The sequence below is a fragment of the Homo sapiens genome, chromosome 9, assembly GCF_000001405.40.
Source record: "Homo sapiens chromosome 9, GRCh38.p14 Primary Assembly".
In the NCBI taxonomy this organism is placed as follows: Eukaryota; Metazoa; Chordata; class Mammalia; order Primates; family Hominidae; genus Homo; species Homo sapiens.
In genome coordinates this window covers 69,189,373-69,210,688 of record NC_000009.12, presented here as the reverse complement: position 1 = coordinate 69,210,688, position 21,316 = coordinate 69,189,373, and the positions used below count along the sequence as shown (strand labels likewise).

At 42.9% G+C, this 21,316-nt stretch overlaps 1 protein-coding gene across 19 annotated transcripts in view, besides 1 other annotated feature; it reads right to left on the bottom strand.

Annotated features, from left to right (window-relative positions):
* TJP2 (tight junction protein 2) overlaps positions 1-21,316 on the bottom strand; it is a 133,945-nt gene that overhangs the window by 44,520 nt on the left and 68,109 nt on the right. For 2 of the 19 annotated variants that reach the window (NM_001369875.1, NM_001369874.1), the window contains exon 1: positions 5,456-5,534. The exons of 14 other annotated variants lie outside the window; for them this stretch is intronic. In NM_001369875.1, coding sequence (NP_001356804.1) covers positions 5,456-5,527 — 72 coding nt within the window. In that variant the 5' untranslated portion in view covers positions 5,528-5,534. Of the gene's footprint in view, positions 1-5,374; positions 5,679-14,978; positions 14,981-15,841; positions 15,846-21,316 lie in introns of those variants that run through there. 3 more of the 19 variants (XM_011519209.3, NM_001170415.1, NM_001170416.2) reach the window with 3 other exon arrangements.
* Positions 5,922-6,216: a silencer, noted in NCBI's record as "tiled region #4978; HepG2 Repressive non-DNase unmatched - State 14:Gen5'". NCBI's record gives its function as "represses a minimal TATA promoter and a strong SV40 promoter by Sharpr-MPRA in HepG2 cells {active_cell/tissue: HepG2}" and the evidence as "EXISTENCE:reporter gene assay evidence [ECO:0000049][PMID:27701403]".

Below are 21,316 nucleotides of genomic sequence, written 5' to 3'. Positions count from 1 at the left end.
CTGGGACTGGGTGGTGAATGGGGCCTGGGGTGCCAGGGACGCAAGCAGCCCAAAAGTGCAAGATTTAGATTAAATGAAGGCCCATCAACACAAGGAAATATGTAAACATTCCAAAAGATTATTATCTAAATTATGTAAAACTCCCCAATTACTTAAAGTCTGTTCACTGTGACGACTGTTCTTCAATTTTAAAAAATAAAAGTGAATTTTCAGGTGAAATTTTTGTATCCTACTCATCTTTGTCCCATTATCTGCTACAACAGTGTCTGGCACACAGAGTAGGCACTCAAAGTTTTTTCTTTTTAATACATCTAGAGATGGATACACTATTCATTCATCATTCAATTAATATAACTGAAGCACTGACTGCTGCTACTTTTTTTTTTTTTGGGGGGGGGGGGGGACGGGGTCTCACTCTGTCACCCAGGCTGGAATGCAGGGGTGTGATCTAGGTTCACTGCAACCTCTGCCTCCTGGGTTCAAGTGATTCGCATACCTCAGCCTCCCGAGTAGCTGGGATTACAGTTGTGCGCCACCACACCCAGCTCATTTTTTTGTATTTTTGGTAGAGACACGGTTTCACCATGTTGGCCAGGCTCATCTCAAACTCCTGACCTCAAATGGTCCGCCTGCCTTAGCCTCCCAAAATGCCGGGATTACAGGTGTGAGACACCGTGCCCAGCCTACAAATTTTCTTAAAGAAAGTTTGTATCAAATTCGTGGCTCTCTGCTTCTTTGATAGCATACGTGAGGTGGGTGAACTAAAAACTCAGGTGCTCATGGTCTGACTTTCTAGATGTGCTCTATAGCCATACCTCTCTGGAATTCTGCATGTGTCTAAAACAGCATTTTCCAATATGTGGAAGCACAATAAATTTTCCAATATTTTAATGAAGTTGTACATATTTGTTAAAAAGTTTTTTTGTTTTTTTTTTTTGAGATGGAGTTTTGCTCCAGCCCAGGCTGGAGTGCAATGGCACGATCTGGGCTCACTGCAACCTCCGCCTCCTGGGTTCTAGCGATTCTCCTGCCTCAGCCTCCCGAGTAGTTGGGATTACAGGCATGCGCCACCACACCCAGCTAATTTTTGTATTTTTAGTAGAGACAGGGTTTCACCATGCTGGTCAGGCTGGTCTCAAACTCCCAACCTTAGATGATCCGCCCACCTCGGCCTCCCAAAGCGCTGGGATTACAGGTGTGAGCCACTACGCCCGGCCAAAAAGTTTTCTTAAATGGAAACAGAAAGCAGAAACCGGGTCGGGCGTGATGGTTCACGCCTATAATCCCAACACTTTGGGAGGCCAAGGCAGGTGGATCACTTGGGGCCAGGAGTTCAAGACCAGCCTGGCCAACATGGTGAAACCCTATCTCTACCAAAAACACAAAAAATTAGCCGGGCGTGGTGGCGCATATCTGTAGTCCCAGCTACTTGGGAGGCTGAAGCAAGAGAATCACTTGAACCTGGGAGGTGGAGGTTGCAATGAGCTGAGATTGCGCCACTGCACTCCAGAGTGAGACTCTGTCTCAAAAAAAATAAAGAAAGAAAAGAAAAAGAAAGCAGACACTCAACTGAACTCCTGCAGTAAGTCAGAATTGGTTGCCCTTTTCCATTTCCATAGAACACCTTACTAACTCCTTGCCAACTTCAGTTTTAGATGTGGCCTTAGTAAAACTAAGCCACTACCACCCAGAAATGACCTTATGAGCATGCCCACTTCTCCAAGCTCATCTTCTCAATGCCTTCTTGTACCTTAAAGCTGTCAAATTTCAACAAAGTGAATTAATCTAGAAGTTGTGGTAAAATAAATATATTTGCCAACTCTTCTTTGGATATAGTTATAGCCCCATGAATTAAGGGGGAAAAAAAATTACATGACATCCTCCCCACAAAACTTACTTTAAAATTATCAGGAAAAAAAACTAACTGGGACTATGACAATCATCCCCAGGATTGGGCAATGCTACATACCAAAAAAATGTTGAATATCCCAAGGAGCTGTGCTATTATAGAGAATATTTTTATGAGTACATTACTTTTAAAATACATTTCTATTTTGGAATTTAAAACTATAAACTCTTCAAAGTTTTGGATTTAAATTTGTTTATCATTTAGCCAAATAAATGAGTTCCTGCAAAATTTTATTTTTTAAATGTGGCTCAAGTAGAATGAATCTGGCTTTTGAAATTCACAGCCCTTCAATAATGGGATGCTACCATCTTTAAGTGTCCTGTGATGCCTGCAAGCGTAATTTAAATTAAATTTGTCAGAGAGACGATTAATCTCCTACCACTACCACCACCAATCAGACCTTGCTATTAACTTGCCTGGTGCCTGAAACCAATCAGATTGCGAGGCTTCTTCTTACCTATGGTTAACGGGTAATAAAATTAACTATTAGCTACTTAACATAATATTCAAAGAATATATGCTCTGCTAAGCCAAGTGATAAAGAGAAAATCTTAATTGTAAAGGAAGGGAACTAGAGCAAAAATAAATTTTAGTAGCTCTGTTGAACATTAAAAATACACCATAACTATGTATATTTAGCCTACAGAACTGTGACTTTTTGGGAAGGTCTCACAGAAAACTCTTCACTGTGCACTCATTTGTTCATTTATGCAAAAACATTTATTAAGCATCCACCTTCTGCCAAGCAAGTGGTTTGTGGCACTTCAGAGACATCAGTGAATAAAATCGCCAAAGCCCTTGGGCAGCTTACCAACTAACTACAAGTGTACCCAAAGAGCAAACTACTGAGTGTCTTTCCTGCCTCATTTATATAATTTTTCAGAAACACAGAGCACCCCACATAATCATCCTTATTCCTCAGAACATCAGCTCTAGGAACATCCCTGGGCACAGGCTGCCAGGGTGCAGCAGCTTAGCTGAGAGCTGTGGTCCTGACATTCAAACTAGGCCACCGGGCTCTGGTCCCACCCACCACCTTGTGCTTGGCTATGCGCAGATCAGACTTGCTAGCAATATCTGACCTCTCTCTGAATGACAGCAGGTAGCTGCTTAGCACCAGGGGGAGCTTTACAGGCAGGCCCATAGAAAGAGCACGCATATATCAGAATTAAAGGTATGCACATTCCACGACCCAGTGATTCCTCTACCTGGGCAGAGGCACCGGGAGAACCGTGTGACTAAATGCACAAGGACACATGTATAGAGTATTCACAGCAGCAATGTTCCCAACAGCCAAAACTTGGAAAATATCCCAGTATCTCTCAAGGGCAGGATGGACAAATTGATACATTATTAAAATACAATGTTTTACTGCAATGAAGACGAACAAACCAGTCACATAGACCACCACAAAAGGGATGCATCTCAAACATAAAGTTGAGCAAAAAAACACCCCAGAAGGATTTGTAGAGTGTGATACCATTTTTATATAGCTCAAAAAACAATGTTTTACAACAACTTGAATATACTTAACACTACTGAACTGTACATTTACAAATGGTACAGACAGTAAATTTTGGTATGCGTTTTTCACTATAGTAAAAAATTGCCAACAAAATTAATCTATTGTTTAGGGGCGTGTGTGTGTGTACGCACGCATGCAGTGGAAATATAAAGAAAAAGCAAGGAAATGAAAAACATAACATTCAGGATGAGGTGACCTGGGCAGGAGGCAGAGTATGGTGGGAGGTACACAAATTTCCTTCGTGTTTTGTCTTGGTGATGGTCTGCAGATATGTGTAATGGGCTCATGGCATTTGTTTAATTATTATGCTCCATGATTTAGATATTTAATTCTTTTATGGTACCAAACATTTCATAAGTTTAAAAAATAGGGAGATGAGGCCGGGCGCGATGGCTCGCGCCTGTAATCCCAGCACTTTGGGAGGCCGAGGCGGGTGGATCACGAGGTCAGGAGATCAAGACCATACTGACTAACATGGTTAAACCCCATCTCTACTAAAAATACAAAAAATTAGCCAGGTGTGGTGGCAGGCACCTGTAGTCCCAGCTACTCGGGAGGCTGAGGCAGGAGAATGGCTCGAACCCGGGAGGTGGAGCTTGCAGTGAGCCGAAATCGCGCCACTGCACTCCAGCCTGGGCAACAGAGCAAGACTCCGTCTCAAAAAGAAATAAAAAAATTAAATAAATAAATAAATAAATAAAAAATAGGGAGATGAGTGGGTGAACACCAAAATGAATACTGACTCCTGGTGAAGGATCTAATACCCAAGAGGTACGAGTATATTTAACAGCAAATTTTTCAATGCAGTTAGAATTTTGCAAAGTGAAGAGGGGATAATAATTTCAACTGGAAGGAGGGCGAGTTGAAGGATGGTACCAGTAATTTGAAAGGGGCAAAGAGGGTAAAGCAAGGCAGGTGCGGTGGGCAGAGTGGGGACGCAGGTTAGGTCTGGGGAGTTGTGGGGGGAGGTGTATGCAGAAAACGCCAAGTCACCTTTTTAATCCAAGTGTCAACATTCTATCCATTAGGAGGATCTTCAATGTGCTTTCATCATCTTTCCTTATCACTTTTACTTTTCACGTAAGTAGTGTTCATGACAACCCCCTTTATATCTAACAGGTCATTCTTAAGACCTCATGGAAAGTTAAAAGTGAGCTAACTTTTCTACCATAAACAAAAAACTTAATGCATTAACAGTAAGGTTTTTGTGTGACAAAAGAAGAGAAAGGAACTAAGGCAAATAGTTACTTATTGTGTTTTTTTTTAATCTTTTTATAAAGCTTTTTTCCTTTGAAAAATCTTGGCCAGATAGGTAAAAATCCTATATATTTTACATAAAGAATGTAGAAACATGTTAAAAGCCAACCCCAAAACAGATACCGAAGTGTTCACTGCCCAAAGTCCCCCTGAACAGGCGGCTTTTAGATTCTGTATCCACAGACTGCTGCTGCCCAGTGATGGAGGTCAAAGCTAAAACCAAAGATTAATCGCAAGCTGTCCACGTAAGGGACATGCTTCATAAAAGTCTCAAGCCATCAAAGTAAACACTCACACATGTTCAAACTGTAAGAGGAAAAAAGAACATGTGAAAAACACTTTTTCTTCTAAGTTAGAAGCCTAGACATAATAAGAATATAGATTTCTGCAGTGTAAGAAAGCAAAAAGTTTTATCCCAAAACAAGAAATTCTCAAACATGAACAAACACAAAAGCCAGTATGTTAAGCTCTACCCAGGAAGCAAAACCATTACAGATTCCTAGCACATGGAAAACAGCAGCCTTTGATCCACAGATCCAGTAAGAGGCTATCAGTTTCACATAGATCTGCTAAAATTAATACAAGTATTTTTAAAAACCCACCAGTGACTACAACCTACAATCTCACAATTTGTTGCTGAAAGATGCCAGAAGCACAAATCAATCTGAGGATAAAGGACTCACTGTGAGAATGGTTTTGCTTCCCTCCCCTTCCCATGAAGAAAGGTTGGGGAAAACAAGGGGAGAGCTTGCAGAGGGACTCACACGGCCTTTCCATCTCCTCAACTTTTTAACAGCCTGGATCCACATCCTATGTAGGGCTTGAGCAGTCTTCATGGTCTCTGGAGATGCATGGGCCAGGCCACCGCCTACATTCCGGGCTGCTCACCCATTTCCATCACTCCATGTGGTTACGTAAGGCGGATACAATAGTGGCCCACATTTCCAGCAAATCCTGTTGTCATCTCACACAGTGACACATCCATATGGCAGGGATGCCAAACGCTTTGAAAAGCACTACTTATGAGCAAAAAAGAAAGCAGTTTGGATTTGCACCACTTCAACAGCTTTCTTTCTCTCCCTCTCTCTCCCTTGCCAGGGAACTAGAGCATCCGAGTAGATATTTCTTTTAAGCACATAAAATGATTCAGCATCTAAGTTGACAGAATTGAGTAAATGAGACACTTTAGAGCAACATTATGGAAAAGAATATTTAGAGAAGTATTTATACAGTATAGACCCTCTGATACACACACACACACGCCAGCTAGAAATAAACTAGCAATGTTTCAGGTCAACTGAATGGCTAATGTTACACAGAAATTAAAAAGCATGAAAAGAAAATGTTTTACGTCCTTGGAGATAACAAGGGGAAGATAAGACTCATTTGGTGCTGCTCAGAGACAACTCAGGGACAGAATGCTTGCTCAGCAAAGTTCCACTGTCTAACCTTTTTGTAAACTTAGCAGATAAAAGAATAACAAAGAGCCCTGCCGTCTGTTCTTTGTCTTTACCACTTGGGGAGAAGGGAGGGGTGGAGAAGCAAATTTTAGGTTTCTGAACATCTAGCAAAGATTTTATGGGATGCCTGGGGCTTGGGAGCTGGGGTTAGGAATTCAGAAGTCTGGTCTTGGGGAGCCTCTGGCCAATTCTTGCTACCATAGTGTATGTTATATGCCAATGGGCTTGGCCAAACAGCGTGCAAATGTAAAGTGTGCCATTTGATTTGAGGCTGAGATGTATATAAATCTGGACCATGAGATGGCCACCATCTAGGAAACAAGGAGAAGCAGAGCCAAGAAAGTGATTTTTAAAGTCACAAGATCTGGAGTGAGATCCTTGTCCTGTCACTTAGCTGTGGGGCGTTGGATACACTATACCCTTCTTTATACAGTGGCGATAAAACCATCTACACTTCAGAAGGGCAATGTCGGCAAGAAATGAGGCAATCTCTACAAAGCACTCGTGCTGGTGCTGGACAGGCACTGGGAAATGTGTGTCCTTCCCTAAGAGTTGAGTTCTTCATGTTATGACAGTTAAATGAGATCAAAAATGAATACAAGTTTATGTTTCAAATCCTACACTTTGCCAGGCGCAGTCACTCACGCCTGTAATCCTAGCACTTTGGGAGGCTGAGATGGGCAGATCGCTTGAGCCAGAAGTTCAAGACCAGCCTGGCCAACATGGTGAAACCCCATCTCTACTAAAAATAGAAAAATTAGCTGGGCATGGTTGTGCACACCTGTAGTCCCAGATACTTGGGAGGCTGAGGTAGGAGGATCACCTGAGCCCAGGAGGCGGAGGTTGCAGTGACCTGAGATCGGGCCACTGCATTCCAGCCTGGGCCATAGAGCGAGACCCTGTCTCAAAAAAAAAAAAAAAAAAAAAAAATCCAGGCTGGGCACCGTGGCTCATGCCTATAATCCCAGCACTTTGGGAGGCTGAGGTGGGAGGATCACCTGAGGCCAGGAGTTCAAGACCAGCCTGGCCAACATGTTGAAACCTCGTCTCTACTAAAAACACACACAAAAAATCCGGGCATGTTGGCGGGTGCCTGTAACCCCAGCTACCCAGGAGACTGAGGCAGGAGAATCACTTCTCCTGCAGTGAGCCAAGATCCCACCATTGCACTCCAGCCTAGGCAACAAGAGTGAACTCCGTCTCAAAAAAATAATAATAAATTATTTATTATATAAATAAATGGGTACAAAGGAGGACCTTGGAATCTAAGCAAGTGTCCAAACCTCAACCTAGGCTATGCAGACATGTGCAGGCTCTGTACACACCAGCCAGGTTCAGCCCATGGGCTGGCTCACTAGCTCCAGGTGCAGAGGAGCCTGAGAACCCAGGCAACTCGGGGAGGGTTCAGGCCAGCCCACTCCTTCACTCTGACAGTCCTAAGGAAAACACCTGAGCTTATCCTCATGAGGAAATAAATACTTCTTTCCCTTAAGTTCATGCATACTACCCAGAAGTCAGAGGTGTCCTAGAATTTAAGAATTCCAGATTCTTCTACAGTGATTTCCAGAGGTCATAGTTTCTAGCAGCAGTAATTCTTTTTTTTAATTGTGCTGAAGAATATATAACCTAAAATTTATTATCTTAACCATTTCTAAGTACAGTTGGCCCTTGAACAGCAAGGTTTGAACTGCCCTGGTCCACTTATCCATGGGTTTTTTTCAATAAAAGTTATACAGAGTGTGCCTGCCTCCCCTGCCTCCCCTTCACCTCCTCCACCTCTTCCGCCTCTGCCGCCTGGGCACAGCAGGACCAAACCGTCATCTTCCTCAGCCTACTCAACATGAAGACAATCAGGATGAAGTCCTTTAGGACTATCCACTTCCACTTAGTGAGTAATAAATGTATTTTCTCTTCCCTAGCTTACTTTACTGTGACAAAACAGTATATAATACATATAGCATATAAAATGCGTTCATTGACTGTTTATGTTATGGTAAGTTTTCTGGTAAACAGCAAGCTATTAGTTAAGTTTTGGGGGAGTCAAAAGTTATACATGGATTTTTGACTGTGTGAGGGTCGGCACTCCTAACCTCTCATTTTTCTAGGGTATACAGTGTAGCACCTGCTAAGGTTTGAATGTATGTGTCCCACCAAAACTCATGTGCTGGAACCTAAGACCCAATACAGTAAGTGTTAAGGGGAGGAGCTTTTAGGAGGTGATTAAGAGGGCTCCAACCTCATGAATGGGATTTGTGCTCTTACAAAAGGGCTGGAGGGACTGAGCTAAACCCCCTTGCTTTCCACCTCTTCTGTCATGTAAGGATACAGCAACAAGACACCATCTTGGAAGGAGAGAGCTGCCCTCACCAGATGCCAAATCTGCTGTTGCCTTGATCTTCAACTTCCCAGCCAAAACTGTGGGCAAATAAATTTCTGTTTTTTATAAACTTCCCAGTTACAGGAGTAGGAATTGACTAAGACAGTAGTATATTCACACTTCAGAATATACTGAACTCAAGAACTCTTCATCTTGCAAAACTGAAACTCATGCCTATCAAACAACTCCCCATTTCCCTCTCCCCTCAGCTCCTGGCAACCACCATTCTGTTTTGTGATTCTATGAATTTGACTACATTAGACACATCATATAAGTGGACTCACACAAGATTTGTCTTCCTGTGATTGGCTTACTTCACATAGCATAATGTCCTCAAGGTTCGTCTACGTGGTGGCGGCGTATGTCAGAAGTTCCTCCCTTTCTAAGGCTGAATAATATTCCATTGTATGTATATGACATATTTTGTTTATCCACTCATCTGTCAACAGACACTTGGGTTACTTTCACCTCTTGGCTATAGTGAAAAACGCTGCCATGAACATGGGTATGTAAATATGCCATCACTAATTCTTTACTCATTCATTCAACAAATGTCGACCAAGTGCAATGTGCTCTGAGGAACAAATGAAGAGCAAAACAAATAAAGCACTGCCCTCAGGAAGCTTTGCAGGAGCCAGCATCTGATCAAGGCAGGTTGGCCAGGGAGGGTTTCCATGAGCCAGGGACACCGAGATGAGGTCTGAAGGAAAGGACAGGATTAGCGGGGTGGGGAGAAGGGTTTGTTCAGGGTCCAAAGAACAGCACAGGGCAAAGACCTGACAAAGAAAAGGGGGAGGGGACAGTAGAGGATGGCCATCAGAACGTAAGAACAACTGCAGCCTGCTCCAACCAGTACTTGTTCTACCAATGGCATCAGAAGGACATTTTGTGGTGGACAGCTACCTCCATGAGAAGAGCTTATGGGTTTAAGGATGTGCCTTCTCAAAGATTCCTAGCTTCCATACTTACAGACCCAAAAGCAACCATGCACCTGGCCCTGTGGACAGAAAGACAAATCACCCCAAGTTATGATGCAAAGGAAGTCACACAGCCCAGTGGGGAGGTGGGATGTGTAAACAAGCAATTACAATTCAGTGCAAGTACAAGAGCCCACCAAGAGGCTCATTCATTCGACATATACTCCCTGAGTACTTATGCCATGTCAGATGCTGCCAGGGGATATGTGCCAAACTCGTTTCCTCACAGGGAGGATTTTAGCAGAGAAAGCAGACAAGAGTCAATATATATCATCATCTCAGGTAGTAATAAGTGCCATGGGATGGCAGACTGGGAAGAATTAATCCTAGGAAAATCTGAACAGCTCTCCAGATTGCTGCGGGAACAGCAAATGCAAAGGCCCTGGGGTGGGAAACAAGCTTAGTACATTTAGGAAAGAGAAAAGGTGACATGGGCTGGAGCAGGGTGAGTGGTGGGGTTATAGCAACTACATAAAATGTGAAGCGAGGCCAGCCCCCATGGTGGCTCAAGCCTATAATCCCAGCACTTTAAGAGGCTGAAGTGGGAGCATCAGTTGAGCCCAGGAGTTCAAGACTGGGCTAGGCAACAAAGCAAGATCCTATCTCTACAAAAAGAAAAATGTTAAAATCTAGCCAGGTGCAGTGGCATGTGCCTATAGTCCTAGCTGCTCAGGACACTGAGGCAGGAGGATCACTTGAGCACAGGAGTTGGAGGCTACAGTGAGCTATGATCATGCCACCACACTCCAGCCTTGGCAATACAGTGAGATCCTGTGTCTAGAAAAAAAGGTGTAAAAAACCACAAAACAGTGTAATTGATGGCACAGGCGGGTTGTTAACTGAGGATGAGAGGCCTGGGGTGGAGGGAGGTATGTCCCAACCACAGGGAGGCTCCCTCTCCCACAGCTCCATGCTGAAGGATGACTAACTGGTCAGGTGGGTGGGCATTCTGCATAGAGGGAACAGCCCGTTCAGAGCCAGGAGGGGTAACCTGCAAGGGTGTTCAAGACATTGCGAGTACTCAGTGCGGCCGGGCAGTAAACTGTTTAATAACACACACAGGATTTCACGTTCTCAGCAGGGACAGACATGTCAAAACAGCTTAATCTATGGCTTGGGAGCCTTAAAATGCATATTCACCTCAGAAATGGGAGACAAGGTAAGTGTGAAAACTGGAGAGGAAGGAAGTCATTAACATTTGGCAGGGCACCACACCCAGTACTAAATATACAATTTTTCCCTGAATGCCCACAACCCTGTGAGTTAGCACCACCATCCCCATTTTACAAATAGGGAAGCTGAGGCCAGAGAGTGTACACAGCCCACCACTGTCAGAGATGGGATCCGAGCTGCTGCCTGACTCCAGACCCTCGTCTCCATGAACAATGTCATGCGTGCTTTCCACATGCTGAGTCCTTAATACATGTTACTGGATAGCTGGAAAGAAGGAAAGGAGGGAGAAAGGAAAGAAAGGAAGGAAAGACAAAGTAAGACAGAGGGAGCACTAAATGAAATCAGCCAGGTTCTCAGTAGCTCCAAACAGCAGATGTGAAACTTCGGGAGGACACCATCCAATAAATGGGCCAATGGTTTTCTGCATGATGTTTCCCTCTGGTGCGTGCGTACGTGCATGCGTGTGTGTGTGTGTATGTCTGAGACAGGATCTTGTTCTGTCGCCCAGGCTGGAGTGCAGTGGCACAATCAGGGCTCACTGCAGCCTCAACCTCCTGGGCTCAAGCGGTCCTCCTGCCTCAGCCCCGGAGTAGCTGGGACTTAAAGGCACATGCCACCACACCTGGCTAATTTTTTTTAATTTTAGTAGAGACAAGGTCTCGCTATGTTGCCCAGGCTGGTCTCGAACTCCTGAGACTCTTCCTGCCTTGGCTTCCCAAAGTGCTGGGATTACAGATGTGAGCCACCACGTTCAGCCCCCTCTGGTATTATGTTGTGTCTGCTATGTCATTTTACAAACGAACTCAAATCCTTAGAAAGGGATAGTGTAAAGAAACAGCTAGCTGGCCTAGGCTGGTAGGTAAACCTACCTCCAGATGAAAAGAGGACTTTTATAGTTCCCCACCTGCCCCCAGGAAATTGGTTTTAACTATTGTGAAGAATTTAGTCAAAATTCTGCTTACTGGACAAAACTTTGAAACAGCTGTCTAATAACAAAACAGGAAATGCTTTTTCCCAGAGAAGGCAGAAAATGAGTTCAACTCTTGTTCTTCCAAAAACGAATAATTTTTAACATTATAAACCAAGTCCTTTTGGCTTCAGGGCACTTACCTGTGGTCTATTCAAACTTAAACCCCTCTTGGTAGCAATAAACTAGTTGCCACCGCATCCAACAATACTTTCTGTAGCGTTTGTTTTACAAACAAAACCCTTTCATCGTTTATTCCACAAGTATTTCAGTTTCACATGTGATTTCACCAGCTCCTTACCCTCCCTTCACAATGCACTGAGTGCCGGCAGTGGATGATTAAATCTAGTGTATGCGATGTGCTCACAGCACACACTTCACAATGGACACAGCTTGCTTATGACCAAGTTTAACAGCAAAAAGCAATAAGCTTAGAGAGGGGTTTGTGATAGGTCACCAGAATCAACACAACTAGATCCCAGACCTACTACTGAAGAGTGCCAGGTTTACTGAGTTGTGTTTTTTAACCACATTCTCCTTTATTTACCTAAGGTAAATTTTTTAGCGTGCATTTAAATAGATAATAAAGAATTGAGAAAGGTGGCCGGGCATGGTGGCTCACGCCTGTAATCCCAGCACCTTGGGAGGCCAAGGCGGGCAGATGACCTGAGGTCAGGAGATCAAGACCAGCCTGGCCAACATGGTGAAACCCCATCTCTACTGAAAATAAAAAAATTCGCTGGGTGTAGTGGCACATGCCTGTAGTCCCAGCTACTCTGGAGGCTGAGGCAAGAGAATCGCTTGAACCTGGGATGCAGAGGCTGCACTGAGCTGAGATAGTGTCACTGCACTCCAGCCTGGGTGACAGAGTGAAACTCAGTCTCAAAAAAAAAAAAAAAAAAGAATTGGGAAAGGATGACAGGGTGCCTGAGGCAACCTGTAGCTTTCAAAGCAGTTGTGTTGAAATGCAAACAGCAATAAATTTAAACTCCAAAAACAGACCTCCATCCAAGACTGCGCCTCAATTCACCCATGAGCTTGGGCGCTCACTCAATTCCACTGCTGCTTCATCAAACGATGGCATCATCACCCATTTCACAGGGTGAAACCAGGCAAACCCCATGAAAGCACTCTGTAAAATCCAGGCTGGTAAACCTTCCAGTGGGAGGTAGACAATGGTGTCCACATAACACAGTGGCAGGAGTTCTGGAGGCCGTCACACACACCTGGGTCTAAGCTCAGTCCCCCTACACACTCTCCAAGCTCTGTGATCTGGAACAGTTCACTTGGTAAGACTTGGTTGCCTATCTGCAAAATGAGGTCAAGATCCCTACCCTATTAGAATTCTGAGAACTGAATAAAGTAATGCTTCTGGAGAGCATTGCTCAGTACCCATCACAGGATAAGCACTCTTGATAAGGGTTTTCCATCATTAATATTGTAGCAGCAAATAAGCTGACCACTCCCAAGTAAGAAAGTCTGTTTTCTTCCTCTCAGAAGAGCATTACGAACACATGGTAGAAAAAAAGAAAAACAAAACCAACAAGTACATCACAGAACTCAAGAAAATTGAAAATACATGTGTACACAACAACTTGTATACAAATGTTCATAACAGTATTATTTAAAATAGCAAACAAGTGGAAACAGCCCAAATGTCCATCAACTGATGACTGGATAAACGAAATGTGGTATATCCATACAATGAACTGTTACTCAACAATAAGGTGGACCAAAGTATCTACACATGCTACAACATGGATGATCCTTAAAAATAATATAAGCAGGGCCAAGCACGATGGCTCACGCCTGTAATCTCAGCACTGTGGGAGGTCGAGGCAGGTGGATCACTTGAGTTCAGGAGTTCAAGACCAGCCTGGTAAAACCCCATCTCTACTAAAAACACAAAAAATTAGCCAGGTGTGGTGGCACTTGTAATCCCAGCTGCTGGGGAGGGTGAAGCAGGATAATCACTTGAACTGGGGAGGCGGAGGTTGCAGTGAACCCAGATTGTGCCACTGCACTCCAACCTGGGCGACAGAGTGAGACTCTGCCTCCAGAAAACATGTGTGTGTGTGTGTGTGTGTGTGTGTGTGTACACACACACACACACACATATATATATAAAACAAGCAAAAGAAATCAGACATAAAATGACAAATTATGTGACATAAAATGACAAATTTATGTGAAATGTCAAGGAGGGGCAAATCCACAGAGGCTGAAAGATTACTGGTTCCCTAAGACTATGGGAGTTTGGGGGAAATGAGGAGTGACTGCTAATGGGTATGCAGTTTCCTTTTGGGGTGAAGAAAATGTTCTAAAATGAATTGTGGTGATGGCCACACAACTCTGTGAATATACAGTACTAAAAGCCACTGGTTGCACACTTTTATTGTATGGTATATGAATTATATCTCAATAAAGCTGTTTTTAAAAAAAAGATCACATCGTAGAGTCTGTAGTCAGAAAGTGTGGATTCAAATCCATGCTCCACCCTTTACCTTGGGCGAGTTACTTAATTTCTCCTTGCCTCAGTTTCCTCCATCTGTAAAGCAGAGGCAGTAGCAGTAACAAGACCCACCTCTCTAAGGTTGTTGTGAGAATTTAATCAGACAGTGCATGTAGAGAAATCAAGGTAATGCCTGGCACATAGTACATGCTCAATTTTAGCTATTATCAATATCATTATTAATAGACTCATTTTACAGAAAGGACACTGAAGTCAGAAGTAAAGTAAGTTGATTGAGGTCATACAAGTAAAAAGTGGCAGAGGACAGATTCTAACTCAGGCTGGTGTGACTAGAAAGCTTATATCCTTTCCACTGAAGAACCTTGCCTCTCCACTATACACCTATTGTGCCTTCCAAAACCTACTAGTGACTGATCACTGGCCTTCACACCAAAAGAAATCCCAGCTGGGCTCAGTGTCTCATGCCTGTAATCCCAGCACATTGGGAGGCTGTGGAGAGAGCACTGCTTGAACCCAGGAGTTTGAGACTGCAGTGAGCTATGATGGCACCACTGCACTCTAGCCTGGGTGACAGAGTGAGGCCCTGTCTCTTAAAAAACAAACACACAAACAAAAACATGATTGTTGGTGCTTGGGCACCAGACCAATCATGGATTCAATCACTCTGACAACTCAGAACATCTTCACAAGCATGATAGCTATTTCCACACCACTGGCCTGGGTCCAGTCAACACAGCCCAATAAGTCTTCTGCAGTGAGTTGGTAAGAAGAGGGTGCAGAAAGGGAGTCGAGTCGGATTTTATTTCTGGCTGTTTGAACAGTCAGCTTTGGTATATATGCACAAGCTCCCTAATGCCTACGCCTTTGTGAACACCATGGAAAAGGGGGGGCCTGAAACACATCATCACTGATTGGACATTAACAATATGCCAGACACCGTGCTAAGTATTTTATGGCTATTGCCTATTAATCCTCCAAAAACCCTATACCCTAACCCTACTCCTGCTTTTTTCACATACAAAAATAGAAGGCCTGAGATCTCAAGGAACTTGCCCATGGCAAGGCCCCACAGCTAACAGGTGCCTGGTCACAATTTGAATGCAAATTTGCATGAGTCCAATTTTCATAAGATATGAGACCAAAAAAAAAAAAATCAGCTGATAGTTACATTTAAGACCTCTATGTTCCTAGTTCTGATACACTAAGCTAAGCTATAAACAGATCATTCTTATTTGTAATTACAAAGAAGCCATTAATAAGCCAAAAGGAAGGTGCTAATTTGGCAACACAGGCACAGCCCTGTGTACCCTATAATTTTAAACCTGACTAAACTTATATAACACTAAAACATAGCTTCACTTTAAAAAAACAAACATACATACAAACCACCACCCCCATAATAGGCACCAAGATAAAGATAATCATAAACGGCTTTGTCAAAAAGGCAGGTTGAAAAAACAATTATTAGAGCTGCTCAGCTAAATGTCACCATCAAGGTTGGCCCCATAGGAAACACACAAGGTCAATCGTTCCCTCCCAGACCTGGGGCACCATCAGATGATGGTTCCCACAGAAAAGAGGGACACATTAGTACCACCTAGCAATGAGCCTGGTTAATCCCATAAAGCCAGTGAGCCTACATACGGAGTCCTGAGCTTCAAACACATGCCTTTCCTATTAGAATTGGAGAATAAAGGCAAGAACCCCACCCTTTGGGTATTACGTAGCCAACCCCTGGGAGCCTGTTAAAAATACAGAATCTCAAGCCCTAACTTGGACCTACTGATAAAAATATGCATTCTAACTAGAGCCCCTATGTGATTAATATGCACATTAACGTTTGAGAAGCACCTCCCATCAGGGAGGTGACGGGGAAAATAATGTTTGAGAAGCACCTGTCTAGCAGTACTCTCCAACAGAAGTTTCTACCATGGTGACGATGTTCTATAGCTGTGCTGTCCAACACAGTAACCACTAGCCACATGTGGCTACTGAACATGTGAAATGTGGCTACTGCAACTGAAGAATGCAATGTTTAATTTTAGTTAATTTAAATTTGTAAATAGCAATATTTACTATATAATTAACCATATCCCTAGCAGTCATTTAAGCCATTTCCTTTTTTTTGCTAGTATAACTAATGCTATGGCAGACACTGTGTGCATATAGCTCCCCCTCCATATTTTGTAGTTAACTATAGATCAAACGGCATTTTTAAGCCTCTTCATGTGTAATGACCTATAACTTTCAGCAATTTACAGTGCTGCAACCATGAGCAGAATGCCAGGTATTAAGAAAAAAATAGTACTTATTTTCAAAAACAGTGAAATTCATTTTTATACTTTAAGAATCCTTTTGGTGTCTCTAAAATTTTTCCTGGGAAGGAAAAATAAAAAGGCTGTGGGAGCGCAGAGGAAGACTGTGAATTCCTTATAGAGGCACATGACAAAACTTAGTAAATTGATACTTTGAAAATACTGATTTAACCAGCTGTCAGTAAGAGACACAATAATTTTATTTTAAACCGTTAATCTATGGACAAGACTAAAAATCTTACAATTTATGGTTTCAACTGCATAAGTATGTTACATATTTAAAATACCATAAACGTAATAACTGAATGTGTTCTTGCATGGTATACTTAGCACAATGACCAATGCCCACTGCACCTAATGGAAATCAACAGACAAAAAGAAACAATTGCTCCATCATACTGGAACATACTCCATCCAGGCAGGGGGCAGCAAAGACAAGAGACAGGGAGGGGAAAGGTGAGGTTTCCTGTATCAAATGTGGAGCCAAAGCCATGCAAAAATCAACAAGCCTTCCTAATTCTTTTGACTTAATAAAACACAGCAGATGAAATTCAAGCAAGTTATAAAAAAAAAAAAAAAGTTCAGGTGTTTGAAATAGCCTTGTTTCTAAACTTAGAAAAAGACCTCATTATTCTATCTTGTATGCCATTATCACATAAACTGAGTGAAACTGACAGTCTGCATCCTTAGTCCATTGGTGACACGGGAAACTTCAGGTATGGGCTGACGTTTTTTTTTTTAATTCTGAATTAAACGTTATTAAGCTCCTCTCAAAAAGTCCGTACTTGCCTAGAAACAAAAATTACTGGCAGAAATTATATGTGATTTCAAAGCATAAAAAGGCACCCAATTTTCCTTTTTGTAGAATTTGTAGCTATAGGAAATCATCAAAGGCCACTGCCTGGTAACAGATGTATTATCCACTAGGTGGTGCAGTCATGCAGAAATAAAAAGGGAGAGACTGCCGGTTCCCTACGAATTGAAAATTTCAAAACATAATTTAGATGAAATTAGAAATAGACTTTAAAAATTACAATAAAAGCCAGGCACGGTGGCTCATGCCTGTAATCCCAGCACTTTGGGAGGCCAAGGTGGGTGAATCGTCTGAGCTCAAGAGTTCAAGACCAGCCTGGGCAACATGGTGAAACCCTGTCTCTACTAAAAATACAAAAATTAGCCAGGTGTGGTGGCGCACGCCTGTAGTGCCAGCTACTCAGGAGATTGAGGTGAGAGGACAGCTTGAGCCCAGGAGGCTCAAGTGAGCTGAGACTGTGCCACTGGACACTAGCCTGGGTGACAGAGTGAGACCACATCTCAAAAAAAAAAAAAAAAAAAGTGAGAGAGAAGGAAGAAAGGAAGACCCTGGCACTGATCACACCTGCAGTGATGGCTCTCTCAGAGTCACTGAGGCCAAGGGAACCATCCAAGGACTTAGCACCAATCAAGATCCCCTTGTCACTGTGAGGAATGAATAAAGCAACCCATAATGTCTACACCAGGTCCCAAAGCCACTGCTGCAGCACGCTACTGAGGAGTAGGTAAGAAACTGGCATTAGGGTATGCAACAGAAATGTTTACTAAACATTCTGAGAAACGGATGTACACACCAGAATAAGAACATATTGAAGGAAGAAACTGCACTATCAAGAAATGTTTATCTGAAGGAGAGCAACAAACCACCACCAAAAACTGTCTAGCGAAAGAAAATCCAAGCAAGAACTTCTACAGCATTTGCCAAGATGAATTAGGCTTTTGCTTCCTCTTGGGGCCTGGAGACCAAGAGACAGACAATGTCAAACACACCAAGCTTTCTCCGACTGCTCCAGTTTATAAGTAGTTCAAGTTCCTGGTACGCACTAGCCAGCTGTATGATCTCTAGGTTCTCTAAGCATCCAGTGAATAACACTCACCTCACAGGGTTCTTGGTGAGGATCAAGTGAGAATTTAACATGAAAGTTTTTTTTTTCTTTTTTTGATACAAGTTCTTGCTATGTTGCCCATGCTGGTCTTAAACTTCTGGGCTGGAGCAATCCTCCTGCCTCAGTCTCCCAAGCAGCTGGAATTACAGGCATGTGCCACCATGCCCAGCTTTATGTAGAGGTTGCTATAAACTGTAAAGTACCACTCAAATGAGGGGTGTTTCTAATATTAATATAAGCCCCACTGTAGCAACGGCAATCAACAGTGGTATAAGCTTAATATAAGATTTAAAACATACGGCTGGGCATGGTGGCTCACGCCTGTAATCCCAGCACTTTGGGAGACAGAGGCAGGTGGATCACCTGAGGTTAGGAGTTCGAGACCAGCCTGGCTAACAAGGCAAAAACCCTGTCTCTACTAAATATACAAAAATTAGCCAGGCGTGGTGGTACGTGCCTATAATCCCAGGTAGTCAGGAGACTGAGGCAGGAAAATCGCTTGAACCTGGGAGGTGGAGGTTGCAATGAGCTGAGATCATGCCACTGCACTCCAGCCTGGGCAACAGAGTGAGACTCTGTCTCAAAAAAAAAAAAATTTTAAAAATGAACTGCATTCAGTCATTGAACGTTTAGTCTCTATTGTACATCAGACTTTGAAAACAAAGACCTGTCAACATAGGACACAGTCCCCACCCTCAAAATGATGTTTGTTTTTAGGACACAGAAAGGTCTGGAAACAGCTAACGGACCTGGAGTAACAGTGACTGATACATACATTCATTCGCTCAAAGCCTTTCTGAACCTTCTAAGCCAAAGGAACCTCACAAAATTTCTCCACTGCTTTTCATTTCTCCAAGCCTTTGAAGCCACACCAGCACTTTATTGTTACTCTGAAGTTTCCTCTGACAGGAAATAACGAACTGTTTGGAACTGAAATAGTCAACAACTCAGAAACACAACAGTACATGTTGCAAAGTTGAAATCCTGCAATCCAGAGAAATAGGAACATCTGAAACATCAGAAACACAGAAATGTTTGATGATACAAAGACATTGCAGTTTTATAGCCTTTCTACATCCTAAAAACAAAATATGCTTTTATTGGTCACCACCTAACACGGAGGAAATCTGCATTTGCAACTTCTCAAGTGGCCCTTGTTATCAGGTCACCTTACTACATTGAAACCAGAAGCAAACCTGTCTGTCAGTGCTCAGATCCAACCCTTTTTCCTTTTTGCTTTTCCAAGCTATGAGTGACTGCAGACAGGGGCATCTCATGCAGCCAGCATCTTCCCACAAGTCAGCATCCTGATCTACTATTCCCAGATTGCAGAACAGGAGACAAATCAAGCCAACACCCTGCTTCCAGGAGGTCTGAGGCAGGAGCCAGGAAACATTTTCTCAAAGGGCCTGACAATAAATATTTTAGGCTTGCCACTACAAGAGGCAAAATCACGGAGATCATATAGATACTTACATAACCATTTAAAATGCAAGAACAGTTCTTAGCTAGCAGGCAGAAAAAACAACAAACACGCAGCTGGCTATATGTAGCTTGCCAACCACCAGACTCAATTTATGCAAAACTTAGTAACAGAAGACTGATGTGCAGGGACCATGGGTCGTTACCTGCAAGGGGCTCACACGGGTGCTGGTACAGGCACACACACATCTCAATTCCTGGTTTCTTTTGCCTCATTTTTCATTTCTATCCTCAACAAACTTTAGGTCTGTCCTTAGCATCAAGTACACTATTTGGGGATAAACTTGTTTTGAGTGTTTTTATTGGGTTATTTATTTCCTTGTATTTGTTTAATTAATAAGAGGTAAGTTCTTAGTGAGTACATAATCCAAAAGTTAGGTCAGCTCAAAGTCAACTATGCTTGGTAGCAACTTCTCTGGTTATATTTTTACCTAAACTAAAATCTGAACTCGTTCAGTTTCCAATCACATACTTCAGGGGAAGCTGACCTAAGGTCAAAATCTTGCTTCAGATAATCTTCAAAGAAGAAGATTAACTATGTTTGTCAGTATTACCAACACATGTATTGGGCAAGACACTGTGTAGAAGAATTGTGTTGGACACAGAGAACTAAAAACCATTGCTCCTGATCTCAAGCTAGGATGCAATTTATTTATGTACCCTCAGAAAAAGACAGTGAGGGAGGTGGCACCCACAACTCAAAGCAAACTGCTACAGGAGAAGTTTGTTTGTTTGTTTGTTTTTTGAGACAGAGTCTCGCTCTGTTGCCCAGGCTGGAGTGCAGTGGCGCCATCTTGGCTCACTGCAAACTCCACCTCCCAGGTTCATGCCATTCTCCTGCCTCAGCCTCCCAAGTAGCTGGGACTACAGGCGTCCACCACCATACCCGGCTAATTTCTTTTTGTATTTTTAGTACAGACGGGGTTTCACCGTGTTAGCCAGGATGATCTCGATCTCCTGACCTCATGATCCGTCCACCTCGGCCTCCCAAAGTGCTGGGATTACAGGCATGAGCCACCGTGCCTGGCCCAGGAGAAGTTTTTTTAAAGTGAGGGGATAGGCATTGGAAGTTTCCCTTGCCCACCATCAAGTCCAATTTAGAATGTGGTCAGAACCATATATCCACCGTTTGTCACAACTGAGTTAGAACCAAAAATCAACTTTCCTTTTTCTTTGTCTTTTTTTTTTTTTAACTTTTTTAAACTTAAAAAAAAAAAAAAAGTGGAGTCTCCACTGTGGTGCTCAGGCTGGACTGCAGTGGCTATTCCTATTCACAGGACAATCAGAACTCACTGTAGCCTCCAACTCCTGGGCTCAAGCGATCCTCCTGCCTGCCTCAGTCTCCAAGTAGTTGGGACCACAGGCATATGCCACCACACTCAGCAAGAATCTCAGTGAATCTGAAAATGTTACTAACATTTTAAATAGTAACACTACCTTAGACTGCCCACAGAAACTCAACTAACCTATCAATTCTGGGTC